General features: G+C 52.0%; 1 protein-coding gene and 1 pseudogene across 1 annotated transcript in view, besides 5 other annotated features; both read right to left on the bottom strand.

Annotated features, from left to right (window-relative positions):
• Positions 1-12,257, bottom strand: part of RAB11FIP4 (RAB11 family interacting protein 4) — a 146,537-nt gene that overhangs the window by 69,155 nt on the left and 65,125 nt on the right. The window lies entirely within an intron of this gene.
• Positions 1,017-1,711: an enhancer, noted in NCBI's record as "H3K27ac-H3K4me1 hESC enhancer chr17:29794364-29795058 (GRCh37/hg19 assembly coordinates)". NCBI's record gives its function as "activates a minimal SCP1, AML or CMV promoter by ChIP-STARR-seq in naive H9 embryonic stem cells {active_cell/tissue: H9 hESC(naive)}" and the evidence as "EXISTENCE:reporter gene assay evidence [ECO:0000049][PMID:30033119]".
• Positions 3,225-3,514, bottom strand: RN7SL79P (RNA, 7SL, cytoplasmic 79, pseudogene; annotated as a pseudogene).
• Positions 8,607-9,106: an enhancer, noted in NCBI's record as "H3K4me1 hESC enhancer chr17:29786969-29787468 (GRCh37/hg19 assembly coordinates)". NCBI's record gives its function as "activates a minimal SCP1, AML or CMV promoter by ChIP-STARR-seq in primed H9 embryonic stem cells {active_cell/tissue: H9 hESC(primed)}" and the evidence as "EXISTENCE:reporter gene assay evidence [ECO:0000049][PMID:30033119]".
• Positions 9,107-9,608: an enhancer, noted in NCBI's record as "H3K4me1 hESC enhancer chr17:29786467-29786968 (GRCh37/hg19 assembly coordinates)". NCBI's record gives its function as "activates a minimal SCP1, AML or CMV promoter by ChIP-STARR-seq in primed H9 embryonic stem cells {active_cell/tissue: H9 hESC(primed)}" and the evidence as "EXISTENCE:reporter gene assay evidence [ECO:0000049][PMID:30033119]".
• Positions 10,163-11,010: an enhancer, noted in NCBI's record as "H3K4me1 hESC enhancer chr17:29785065-29785912 (GRCh37/hg19 assembly coordinates)". NCBI's record gives its function as "activates a minimal SCP1, AML or CMV promoter by ChIP-STARR-seq in primed H9 embryonic stem cells {active_cell/tissue: H9 hESC(primed)}" and the evidence as "EXISTENCE:reporter gene assay evidence [ECO:0000049][PMID:30033119]".
• Positions 11,011-11,859: an enhancer, noted in NCBI's record as "H3K4me1 hESC enhancer chr17:29784216-29785064 (GRCh37/hg19 assembly coordinates)". NCBI's record gives its function as "activates a minimal SCP1, AML or CMV promoter by ChIP-STARR-seq in primed H9 embryonic stem cells {active_cell/tissue: H9 hESC(primed)}" and the evidence as "EXISTENCE:reporter gene assay evidence [ECO:0000049][PMID:30033119]".

Here is a 12,257-nt window from a genome sequence, read left to right as displayed (position 1 = left end):
ACGAGGGGCTTATTCTGTGCCAGACACTGTTCTAGGAGCTCAAATATGAGCTCATTTAATCCCTCACAGTCCTATCAGGTAGGCATGTATACATCTGGATTTACTGTGAAGCTAACAGAGCTTAAGCTTCTAGGACCCTCACGTGCTCCAGAGGGGCCCTGCCAGTGTGTTCACATGGTTAAGTGTTTGTAAACTTTGCACAAGATGTTGAGATTCCTTTTTTTTTTTGAGACAGAGTCTTGCTCTGTCACGAGGCTGGAGTGCAGTGGTGCGATCTTGGCTCACTGCAACCTCCGCCTCCTGGGTTCAAGCGATTCTCCTGCCTCAGCCTCCTGAGTAGCTGGGATTACAGGTGCCCACCACCACACCCAGCTAATTTTTTGTACTTTTAGTAGAGATGGGGTTTCACCATGTTGGCCAGGATGGTCTCAATCTCTTGACCTTGTGGTCCGCCTGCCTCGGCCTCCCAAAGTGCTGGGATTACAGGCATGAGACACAGTGCCCAGCCAGAAATTCTTTACCTTAAAAAGGGCTCTACATGTGGTAAGAGCTTCAGGCCCCACACAACCCAGATCCACCAGAGAATGCATTGCTCTTCCCATTTCGCATATGAGAAGGCTGAGGCACAGAAAGATTAAATAACCTGCGCAAGGACATTCAGAGCCAGGATTTGGATGCAGGACCAAAGCCCTCTCCACTCTGCCCCAGGCCTCTCAAATCTAAGGAAAGGAGCCCAGAACAGTGGTGGCATGTGTCTGCCTGAGGCCAGCTTTGCATGTGTGTGGGGGTCTGAGCAGAGGAAGCGAGGAAGGGAGACGAAGCGAGGAAGGGAGACAGAGGCTCTGATCAGAAGAGTCCCAAGTTCACAGCCCAGAGCCCTAAGCACCAGCTACTTGGCATCAGAATCCTGCTAAATCTGACCATCTCCTCCCCCAACCCCTCGTGACCCAAATCTATTGTTTGCCTTTCCAGCTCCTGGAAGCACTGAGTGCAAACTACAATGGACCAGCGCAGCTCACCCCGAATAAACCTGCTCTCTGTCCCCTTCCCCTTCCCAGGCCCCTCCTTCACTGGGGCTGCAGGGCCCAGTCATCTCGAACACCAGGCAAGGGCAAACAGGAGCTGGCAGGCTGGGCCTCAAGGGCAGGCCTTCCACTTGCTATTTTGCAAAAGGCCGGTTTCAGCTGCCTGGGCATTCAGTTACCTTAATTAGAATGGGCCCCAAGCTCGGGGCAGATTCTATCACAGCAGGGATGGGAGAAGAGGAAAAGAGCGGTAATGGAGCTGCCCTCCCTTGGGCACTGAGATGGAGAGCGGTGGGTGGCAGGAGTGGGGCAGTGTGTGCCTGGGCCCTCCACAGGCTTGAATGGCCTCACTCAGTCCCTCAGTCCTCAGAGCAGAGAGAGTAGCTGGGACTACTCTCTCCCCAGGTGGAGAGTTTCAGAATGTGCTCACAAAGCCCATTCTGAGGCTGAGATCAGTGGGGATGTAGACTTCTGTCATGTCCCTGGGCCAAACTTAGCATCAGAACCACTCAGAGAAGAGAATTAAGTCAGAGAGAAAGACTGAGGGCAGGATGAAGAAGGGGAGTACCAAGAAGAGACTGCTTTCTGTTTTTTTCTGGAAATACTAGGAAGTGGCTAGGCACCGTGGCTCACGCCTGTATTCTCAGCACTTTGGGAGGCAGAGGCGGGCAGATCACCTGAGGTCAGGCATTCGAGACCAGCCTGGCCAACTTGGTGAAACCCCCATTTTAGTCTCTACTAAAAATACAAAAATTAGCTGGGTGTGGTGGCATGCGCCTGTAGTCCCAGCTACTCAGGAGGCTGAGGCAGGAGAATGCTTGAACCTGGGAAGTGGAGGTTGCAGTGAACCGACATCATGCCACTGCACTCCAGCCTGGGCGACAGAGCAAGACTCCATCTCAAAAAAAGAAAAGAAAAGAAAAGAAAAGAAAGAAATACTCAGGAGCTAGATGCAGGAGGTATGGTTTAAGGACACTGGGCCTTAACTCCATTTTCTTCTCCAGACAGGGAAGGAAGTGGTCTTGTTGACACCAAGAGCCAGGAGAGCCAATGTTTGAGAACATTCCTTTAAACCAAAATGCAGAGATTTGAAGTGTAAATTTGTCCAGAAAAATGGAAATAAGCTTTGAGTATAAATAAGAATTGACATAATAAAGCTTGAGCTTTTGAGACTCAAGGTGGTAGCATCCCTGGGTCCCCATTAGGGACTCTGAGGGCTAAGGGAAGCTCAACTTTGCTCTGTATGGCCACCTGGTTTCCATAGACTCTGCCTTCCTGGCTACTGGGACTGGGGAAATTACCCCAACCCCAGAGTGTGTAGGAAGGTACATGAGTGAATGGGGGAGTGCAGAGGGTCTTTTTCTGCCAAGCTATAATCTACCAGCGGAGCCACGGTTGGCACTGGAAGGCGGTAGACGCCCAGGCAGGAACTATGTGGGACGAGTGTAGAAGCCCCAACCAACTTTGCTACTCAGAGTCTGCATAACCTCGGCAAAGTCTCAGCATCTCTCTGCATAACATTCTCAGCCTGTAAAATGGTGTAACAGCTGCTAACACTTAGCACATAACTATGCGATAGACACTAACCTAAGTACTTTTTACTAATTCATTTAATCCTCATAACACCTTAGGAGGAAGGCATCACCACCTACAGGAAAGGAAACAAAGGCACCGACAGGGGAAGAAACACATTAAGGTCACAGGACTAGAAGTGGCGGATTCAGGAATCAATCCCGGGCTGCCTGGGTCCAGGGTGTATGTCCTTAACCACAACATGACACTGTCTCTGCCTCCTTCCCCTGGGACCCACTGTCCTCAAGTGCACCAGATAAGCAATGCTGTAAATGAAGTAGATTAGTCAGGGGCTGGGATTCTTTTTTTATTTTCTGAGACCGAGTCTCACTCTGTCACCCAAGCTGGAGTGCAGTGGCGTGATCTCGGCTCACTGCAACCTCCGCCTCCCGGGTTCAAGCGATTCTCCTGTCTCGCCCTCCCGAGTAGCTGGGACTTACAGGCGCGTGCTACCACACCCGGCTGATTTTTTTTTTTTTTTTAATTTTTAGCAGAGATGGGGTTTCACCATGTTAGCCAGGATGGTCTCGATCTCCTGATCTTGTGATCCGCCCGCCTCGGCCTCCCAAAGTGCTGGGATTACAGGCATGAGCCACCGCACCTGGCTCTTTTTTTTATTTTTTAAAGACAGGGTCTTGCTATGATGTTACCCAGGCTAGAGTGCAGTGGCCACTGGTAGGCGCGATCCCACCACTGATCAACACGGGAGTTTTGACCTGCTCTGTTTTTGACCTGGGCTTGTTCACCCCTCCTCAGGCAACACTGTGGTCCCCTGCTCCCAGGAGGTCACCATATTGATGCCAAACTCAGTGTAGATACCCGATCAACATAGAGCATCACAGCCCAGAGCTCCTGGGCTCTAGCGATCCTCCTGCCTCCCCATTAGCTGGGACTACAGGAGCACCACTGCGCCCAGCAGGGGCTGGGGTTCTTTTTTTTTTTTTTTTTAACAGGGTGCCATCCGTATTGAGGGGCTGCAGTTCTTGAATGGTGAGTTGTAATGTGGGATTGAAGCACAGAGTCCCGGAGCATAGGCCTGGAGCTCTGGGGCCAATGGAAAGAGGTCACAGCAGTCATTCTAGAACTTTGGTTAGGGGAGCGTGCTAAGGATGCAGATTCCCAGGTCCACCCACATCCTGGGCTAGTCAATGGGGCCTAGGAATCTGCATTTAACATGGACACACTGGTTGAGGAGGACTTTGGAGTCCTAACCTAGATTCCTTCCTGACTACAGGGGAAAGACCTCAGACCTGGAGCCTGGAGAACCAGGTTCTAGTCTGGCCTCAACATAGCCTTGGGAAGTTCCAGGCTCTGTGCAACCTGTTTCCCCATCTGTAAGATGAATATGTCACCCCAGATAGTCTCCACTGACTGCCCGTAGGCCCTGGATGAGAATATCCAGGCCAGGCACTGTAGCTCACACCTGTAATCCCAGCACTTTGGGAGGCCAAGGCAGGCAGATCACTTGAGCCCAGGAGTTCGAGACCAGCCTGGGCAACATGGCGAAACTGTCTCTACTAAAAATACAAAAATCAGCCAGGCATGATGGTACGTGCCTGTAGTTCCTGCTACTAGGAAGGCTGAGGTGGGACTATTGCCTGAGCCTGGGAGGCGGAGGTTATAGTAAGCCAAGATCGTGCCACTGCACTCCAGCCTGGGTGACAGAGAAAGACCTTGTCTCAAAAAAAAAAAAAAAAAAAAAAAAAAAAAGCCGGGCACAGTGGCTCATGCCTGTAATCCCAGCACTTTGGGAGGCCGAGGCAGGTGGATCCCCTGACATCGGGAGTTTGAGACCAGCCTGACCAACATGGTGAAACCTCGTTTCTACTAAAAATACAAAATTAGCTGGGTGTGGTGGTGGGCGCCTGTAATCCCAGCTACTTGGGAGGCTGAGGCAGGAGAATCGCTTGAACCTGGGAGGTGGAGGTTGCAGTGAGCAGAGACCATGACACTGCAGTCCCGCCTGGGCAACAAGAGCGAAATTCCGTCTCAAAGAAAGAAAAAAGAAAAAAAGAGATAATGTCCCATCCCCATCCCCATTTTCTCTGCTCTCTGTAATGAGGCAGCAGTGCTGATGTTTCCCTTTGATTCTGGGCTCCCAGAGGGAGGAATAAAAATAAAATAACCATGACAGTAACAGCTGCTCTGTCATGAGTGGGCCCACGAGATGGGAAGAATGCCACCAACTGTTGGCCGGCATGGCCAACTTCTGCTTGATCAGCCTGAGAAAGCTGGGGGGGTCCCCCACACTGACAGCACAGGTCTCCTCATAGCCATGTTCAAACACAGGCAAGTATGATCCTTGAACCTGCGGGTCTGGCACAGGAGAAACAAATGGGGAGAAGAGGCTGGGCCCGGCGGCTCACGCCTATAATCCTAGCACTTTGGGAGAATGGGGTGGGCGGATGACCTGAGGTTGGGAGTTCAAGACCAGCCTGGCCAACATGGCAAAACCCTGCCTCTACTAAAAATACAAAAAATTAGCTGAGTGTGGTGGCATGCACCTGTAGTCCCAGCTACTCATTAGGCAGAGGCATGAGAATAGCTTGAACCAGGAGGCTGAGGTTGCAATGAGCTGAGATCGGGTCACTGCACTCCAGCCTGGACAACAGAGAAAGACTCTGTCTCAAAAAAAAAAAAAAAAAAAAAAAAAAAAGTCCAGGCGCAGTGGCTCACACCTGTAATCCCAACACTTTGGGAGGCCTAGGCGAGCGATCACCTGAGGTCAGGAGGTCGAGACCAGCCTGGCCAACATGGTGAAACCCCGTCTCTACTAAAAATACAAAAAATTAGCCAGGTGTGGTGGCAGGTGCCTGTAATCCCAGCTACTCGGGAGGCTGAGGCAGGAGATTCGCTTGAGCCTGGGAGACGGAGGTTGCAGTGAGCTGAGGAGAAGAGAAAGGCACATGCTGGCTGCCTCTGGCCTGGTGGAGGGAGGTTCTGGGTGCTCTTGCTGTGTGGAAACTTGAGATGCTGGGGCCAGCTGAGAACCCCAGGCCTCCTGTGTTGGTGCCAAAATTGAGAGCCCTCAACGACCCCAACTAACTCTGATCTAGTGCCCACCACACGCCAGGGCACTGCGGGACTCATCGTCTTCTTTATCTTATATGATCTGCACACCACCTGTAGCAGGGGATTACCATTGTGCCCAGTTTACAGGTAGGGAAGATGAGGCTCAGAGAGGCTAAAGGGGTCATGATGGCAGCACAGCTGCCAAGTGCCAGGGCTGGGGCTCAAACCCAGGCCTGCCTGGAGTCTCGTGTTCTCCATTAAGCTGAGCGGCCTTGCAGCAGGACTCCTTACATAATGGGACTATGCTCTGGTGGTTACAATGTGTTAACGCCTCCTCATGTTGATGGCTTAAGCTTTACTGGCTTTGGGACTGTTTGCTGGAGCCCTGAGCCAGCAGCCAGCAAAGTAAGTGCAGAGGCGGCCTCATGATCAGAACCCAATCAAGGCTTTTGTTTGAGGACTGAAGCTGAGGCTCAGGATCAGGAGGGAGAATTTTCAAGAAGATGGTATGAGGCTGGGCGCGGTGGCTCACGCCTGTAATGCCAGCACTTTGGGAGGCCGAGGCGGGCGGATCATTTGAGGTCAGGAGTTCGAGACCAGTCTGACCAACATGGCGAAACTCCGTCTCCACTAAAATACAAAAATTAGCCAGACGTGGTGGCACGCACATATAATCCCAGCTACTTTGGAAGCTGAGGCAGGAGAATCACTTGAACCCAGGAGGCGGAGGTTGCAGTGAGCCAAAATCACACCACTGCACTCCAGCCTGGGTGACAAAGTGAGACTCCATCTCAAAAAATAAAATAAAATAATAAAAGAGAAGAAAAAATAGAAGATGGTGTGGAGATAATGACGCTAAGAGTCCGGACCGAGGCTGGTGCTAGGAAACTGAGTGCTGGTGGAGGCTTTGCAACCAGCCAGCTATGAGACCTCGGGAAAGTCCCTTGTTCTCCCTGTGCCTCGCTGGGGCTGTTCCAAGACTTTAAATGCTTCCCTGCAAATTTCCAAGCGGATACTCCAGACCCTTTCTAATGTTCACTCATCTATGCTGCTGGCCACACATCAGAATCAGCTGGGGAGCTTTTCAAACTCCCAATGACCAAGCCAAACTTCAGACCAATTACATCAGAATTTGGAGGTAGAACCTAGGCCCTGTTTTTTTTTTTGTTTTTTGTTTTTTTTGAGATGGAGTCTTGCTCTGTTGCCCACACTGGAGTGTGGTGGCACGATCTCGGCTCACTGCAACCTCTGCCTCCCAGGTTCAAGCAATTCTCCTGCCTTAGCCTCCTGAGTAGCTGGGACTACAGCAGGCACCTGCCACCACATCCAGCTAATTTTTGTATTTTTAGTAGAGATGGGGGTTTCATCATATTGGTCAGGCTGGTCTCGAACTCCTGACCTCAGGTGATCCACCCATCTTGGCCTCCCAAAGTGTTGGGATTACAGGCATGAGCCACCGCACCCAGCCACATTAGTTTTTAAAGCTCCCCAGGTGATTCCAATATCTGGCCAAGGTCCAGCCCTGTGACCAACAAAAGTGTGTCTCAAACTTTAATGAGCACATGAATGAATCTCCGAGGGTGTTAAAATGCAGATTCCCATTCAGTAGAAATGGGTTTCGATTCTGTATCTGTAGTGAGATTCTGTATCTCTAGTGAGTCGAGATCGTGCCACTGCACTCCAGCCTGGGTGACAGAGCAAGACCTTGTCTCAAAAAAAAAAAAAAGGCTGGGTGCAGTGGATCATGCTTGTCATCCCAGCACTTTGGGAGGCCGAGGCAGGTGGATCCCCTGACATTGGGAGTTTGAGATCCCAGGTGATTTGCAGATGAGACACGCATGAGTCCATGGACCACACTAGGAATGTCAAGGACACAGAATGTTCCTAAGTATGCTCCAGAGCTGAAGAAAGGTTGCCCTGGCCAAGTCTGCAAATGCTGCATACTCTCATCTCCCTCTTTGGCATCCAGAGGGGCGCTGGGATATTAAAGCTCTGAGAAGTCCTGCATCAAGGTAACCCATGCATTTTTATTTGAGCATCCAGGGCTTACATCAGTGCTCAGTGCCAAGCTAAGTGCTCAGTAAGTGCCTGGTATCGTGGTGATGGTTCTTAGCTGTGCACCTCAGGAACTGGTGAGGGCTTTGTAGGGTGGATGGAGATGTGGACGTAGATGATGTCTGAGTCCAAGGCCAGGCCCAGGCTTGTGCGTGTGGAGGGGCTTTTCTGCCTCATCTGCACACCTGCACCTCTGCTGCAAATGGCCTCAAGGTATTTTATCAGACAGGTGGGGCTATAAGGGTGGTGAGGAAGCTAAGGGTGGGAGTCAGGGGGGTTGTTGGCAGCAAGGGCTATGAGTAGGGGTCTGTGGATTTGGGGGGCATCATGGTGGTGTATGTGGGGGCTCTGGAGGTCTGTGGATGGTGAGAGTTGGTGGACAGGGGAGGCTGTGGGTGGTAGGGGGCTCGACACATGACCCAGCCAGCATTTACAGCACAATGCTGTAAACTAGCTGTGTGTGGTAACTCCTGTGAAGCGATTAAAAATACACACATGGCCGGGCGTGGTGGTGCACACCTGCAGTCCTAGCTACTCAGGAAGCCAAGGTGGGAGGATCACTTGAGCCTAGGATTTGGAGGATGCAATGAGCTAGGATCACACCACTGCACTCCAGCCTGGGTGACAGAGTGAGACCCTGTCTTGAAGAAATATATATATGTCTCTATATATACACCCACTCAACTTTGTGTCTGTGAAAAAATGGTCCCAGAGAGAAAGCCACCTGCTACCACTAGTCTTGGAGGGAGAGAGAAAATGAAGAGGTCCAAGAAATTAATGGTTCTTTGCCAGAAAATAGAAGCAAGTAGTAATATTTATAGCCACCAACATTTCTAGCACTCTGTCTTGCTGTCAGGCTCTAACACACATCCTAACTGATGCCAGCGGCTTCTAATTTATCTCCTGTATCCTCTCAACAAGACTGAGGAGTACATTAGGGTCATGCCCATTTAACAGGCAAAGAAAACAACGTTCAGAGATGACACAACCTGTCCAAAGTCTCACGGGGAAGGGCCAAGCTGTGATTCGGACCCAGGTCCTTCTGACTCTTGACGTCCATGCTCTAAGGTGAGTCTACACCACCTGCTCCCAGGGACGGCAGACACTGATCCACTGCTTACTTTGGGTCAGGTTCTGAGTTAAGCATTTGAAAAGCACTTTATTTTTTAAACAACAGCCTAGTAAGCCAAAGCATCAGGCATGAGTCTCCAACGTGCTTGCTCCTCCACCAGACCCAAAGACACATTTTTCAATGGACCCCAAAGCCTGACCATGAAGTGCCCACCCCATCCCATTCCAGCCAGGCTTTTTAGCAGTCTGGTCTGTCCCAGCCCATGGTGGGCTTGTGTCTGGGAAGGCAGCAGGGCTTTTTCCTCAAGAGGCACCTGAGAGGGCCGGGAGTGACCGCAAGGCAGGCAGGAGCACTGTGGCCACCACCAATTTCCAGAGCACTCTGTGTACTTCTGTCCTGAGCCAGTCCCAGGCTCCACACAAGCCCTGGGACCCCAGGAGGGTAAAGTCCCAGCCACCCCTGTGTCCAGAACAACAGAGGAGCCCCTCTGGGGCACAACCCACTGTCAGGCAGAGGTATCTGGGGCCGTGGGGAGGGACTGGTGGGGGATAAAGAGGCTGCTTTGGGTGGGGGGAGGGGCTGGAAAAGCTTCTGGGTGGCAGCCGAGCTGTGTCAAAGATGACAGTGCTGCAAGAAACAGGGAATTCTAGGAGAGGGAACAGCATGGGCAAAAGCCCAGGAGTAGAAAGGGCAGCAGTGCCTGGGAAGTCCTGAGTTAACCCATCAGGCGTGGGAGTGGAAGCTGCAGAAAGGTTTTGGTCAAAGTGACATGCGCTCATTTATTCAACAAATGCTTTATGGTACCATTCATGTTAAATAATAATAATAATAATAATAAAACGCTCACCGGAACTGAGGATGTGTCAGATGTGGGTACAGAGAGGAATGAGAGTATCTGGCCTCCTGGAGTTAAGAATCTAGTGATCAAGAAAACTACAACCTGATGGGCATTTTACCCCCATTTTATAAATGAGAATAAGTGATACCAGTGTGGGGTTACTCAGAGAGGTTAAGTGCTTTGCCCAAGACCACATGGCTCATCCATCTCAGAGGAAGGAGTCTACTCCCAGGATCCCTGAACAGCTGAGAGTACTCGTAGATCTCTCTGACAGGTGGCTGAGGGGAGAAGGGACTTGGAGGTGGGTAGGACTGGGGAATTGACACGGGGCAGGGGGTGTAGGCAATACTAGAGGGAACAGACTAGAGGCAGAAAGTCAGCAGAGAGGCCATTGCAACTGTCAGACATGATGAGTGAGAGTTGAGATCAGGACTACCATGTTCAGCTGCACAGGTTGGGTACTGCACAATTTCCATAGACTACAGTGATAATAGTGCCCCTTGGAGTTAGGTAGCAGTGACCCTGGCTAATAGAGGGACCAGATTCACACACATGACTGTGCATGTAGCCACAGGTCTTCAGCTCCTGGGCTAACAGCTGCCAGCTAAACCCCACACTGCTATCAAGGGCCACATTCTGTTTTCTCCTGGGGAGGAAGTGGCAGCTTCGCCCCAAACGTGTTTCACACCCTGGGTGACCCACAAGGCCAGTCCATTCTTCACTAATGTGACAAAGATGCTGGTGCATGAAGGGTTCCAAGAGGAAAGAACATTGGCAAACTGCCTCCACCTCTGTGCTGGGAGGCCCAGAGGTGCACATGAGCATTTTGAAGACCCCCAGAAGCCCCACAGCCAGGAAGCTGGTACATCTTTCCTTGATGCATCTCCCAGGCTCCCGTGCAGAGAAGGCCCATTCTGAGAGGCACCTCCAAACACCCCTGGCACAGCCCCAGCTGGCAGGCTCAGTGCCACCTGCCTCTTCAACCAAAGGGCTTCCATTTTAGGACCCCCTATATCCAGGTCAGAGCCATCTTCAGGCCTCCAAAAGCAGCAGGAAGGGGCTGGGAGAATCTTGCCTCCCCGCAATGCCCTGCGGGGCTCCCATGATACTTTGCTTCATGCCTCTGGGTAGAAGATGGTCCTGCAGCACTGCAGATGCTCCTGATGCGCAGCTCCCAAGCTATGCAGCTCCTCAAAGGAGTCCTCTGGTCCTGCCTCCAGGGATGGGGTGGAGGGAGTGAGGAGAGGCCTGGGACACCTGAGGAGCCTCAGGAAAGGTGGACTCAGCCCGCATTCTGAGGCAACTGGATCAGATGCAGCTAAAAATCCTGGCCCTGCACACTGTGGCCCCAAGGCCTTGGACACACGTCTTAACTGCTGTCTGAGCCTCAACTTCCTCATCAGCGAAATGGGTACCACAGTACCTACTTGGCAGGGTTGGTCTGCTGGGGGTGGTTAAAGGAGATTAGCATGGGGACACTCCATCTGTCCCTTCCCTCAAGGCCTTTTGTCTGGCTCCTGCTGAGACCTGGGTCAGACTGGAAGGTTCCCTGTGTTGAGAATGCAGACTTCAGGACAGAGAGAGATGGGGTGCAGATAGAGAGAAGAGACAGAGCGGGGAGGGGAAAAGGAGAGAGAGGAAGGGAGGATAGTCAGGGACGGAGAGGGAGGCACACATGCAGACAGAGACACACACAAAGAGAGAGAGCACAGAGGCACAGAAAGGGCCAAGTTGAGAGACAGAGGGTAGGGCAGCAGGAGGGGTGTGGCCACCTGCGGGGCTGGGGGTGAGGGTGGTGGGGGTCAGGCCTGCTCCCACCCCCAGGCTGTAACAGCCTTCAAAGCTCCCGCTGGGTCTCTTATCAGTCCTAGGAGGCAGCTGGGTGACTCCTCCTCTCCTTCCCACTCTCCCTCCACCTTGTCCCGCCCCACCCCGGAGAAAGGGGAAGAAGCAGGCAGGAAGCCAGTTCCAGGGGGGACTGGGGTGGGGTGAGAGAGGGAATGGATAGTGCTTCCCCAGGTTAGGCCTGGGGACCCCTTTGAGGAGAAGGAGAGGACACAGGGCATGGCCGGAACTGGGGACCCCTGGGGAGAGGTGAGAGTGTGACCTGCTAGTTCTTGGAATCTCTGTGAGAGGTCAGCTCCTGACTCTGGAAAGGCCCTCAGTCAACGTCAGTGAACAAACAGGGACCAAGTAACTTGGTCAGGCCCAGCGCAGGGCACAGCAAGCCATGAAGCTGGTCCTCGTCCCCCAGGAGAACACAGTCGAGAACCTGTGAGGAAGGCCCTCCAAATTCCCATTCTCTACCTAAAACACGATGCTTGTTAACTAAACTCTAGTTTCTCTCTTTCCCCCAGTTCTGTGAACTTTGGCCACCCTCACCTGAGCAACTCACTATCCCTCCTTACAGCCCTCCGGAGGACAGGTTGGCCTGCATTAAGACAGGCCCCCAGGACCAGGCCACCTTTTCAACCTACCTCCCCGCACCAGTTCTTTCAAGCCTTGTTTACTCTTGCCTAGAAAAGAACAACCCTTTCGGCTTAACTTTGGAGGTGCAGGAGGATCTTCTGGTCAGTGCTCTCTCCCACTGCAATGCTCCCGCTTCCATTGGAATAGTCCCCTCCCCACCACCCCCAGGCAATAATAATCCTTTAATAAGTCTCTCCTTAGTAAATCAAGATTC

This window comes from Homo sapiens, chromosome 17, assembly GCF_000001405.40.
Source record: "Homo sapiens chromosome 17, GRCh38.p14 Primary Assembly".
NCBI classification, from domain to species: domain Eukaryota; kingdom Metazoa; phylum Chordata; class Mammalia; order Primates; family Hominidae; genus Homo; species Homo sapiens.
Note: the sequence above shows the minus strand (reverse complement) of the source record. Positions and strands in the feature narration are given on the sequence as shown.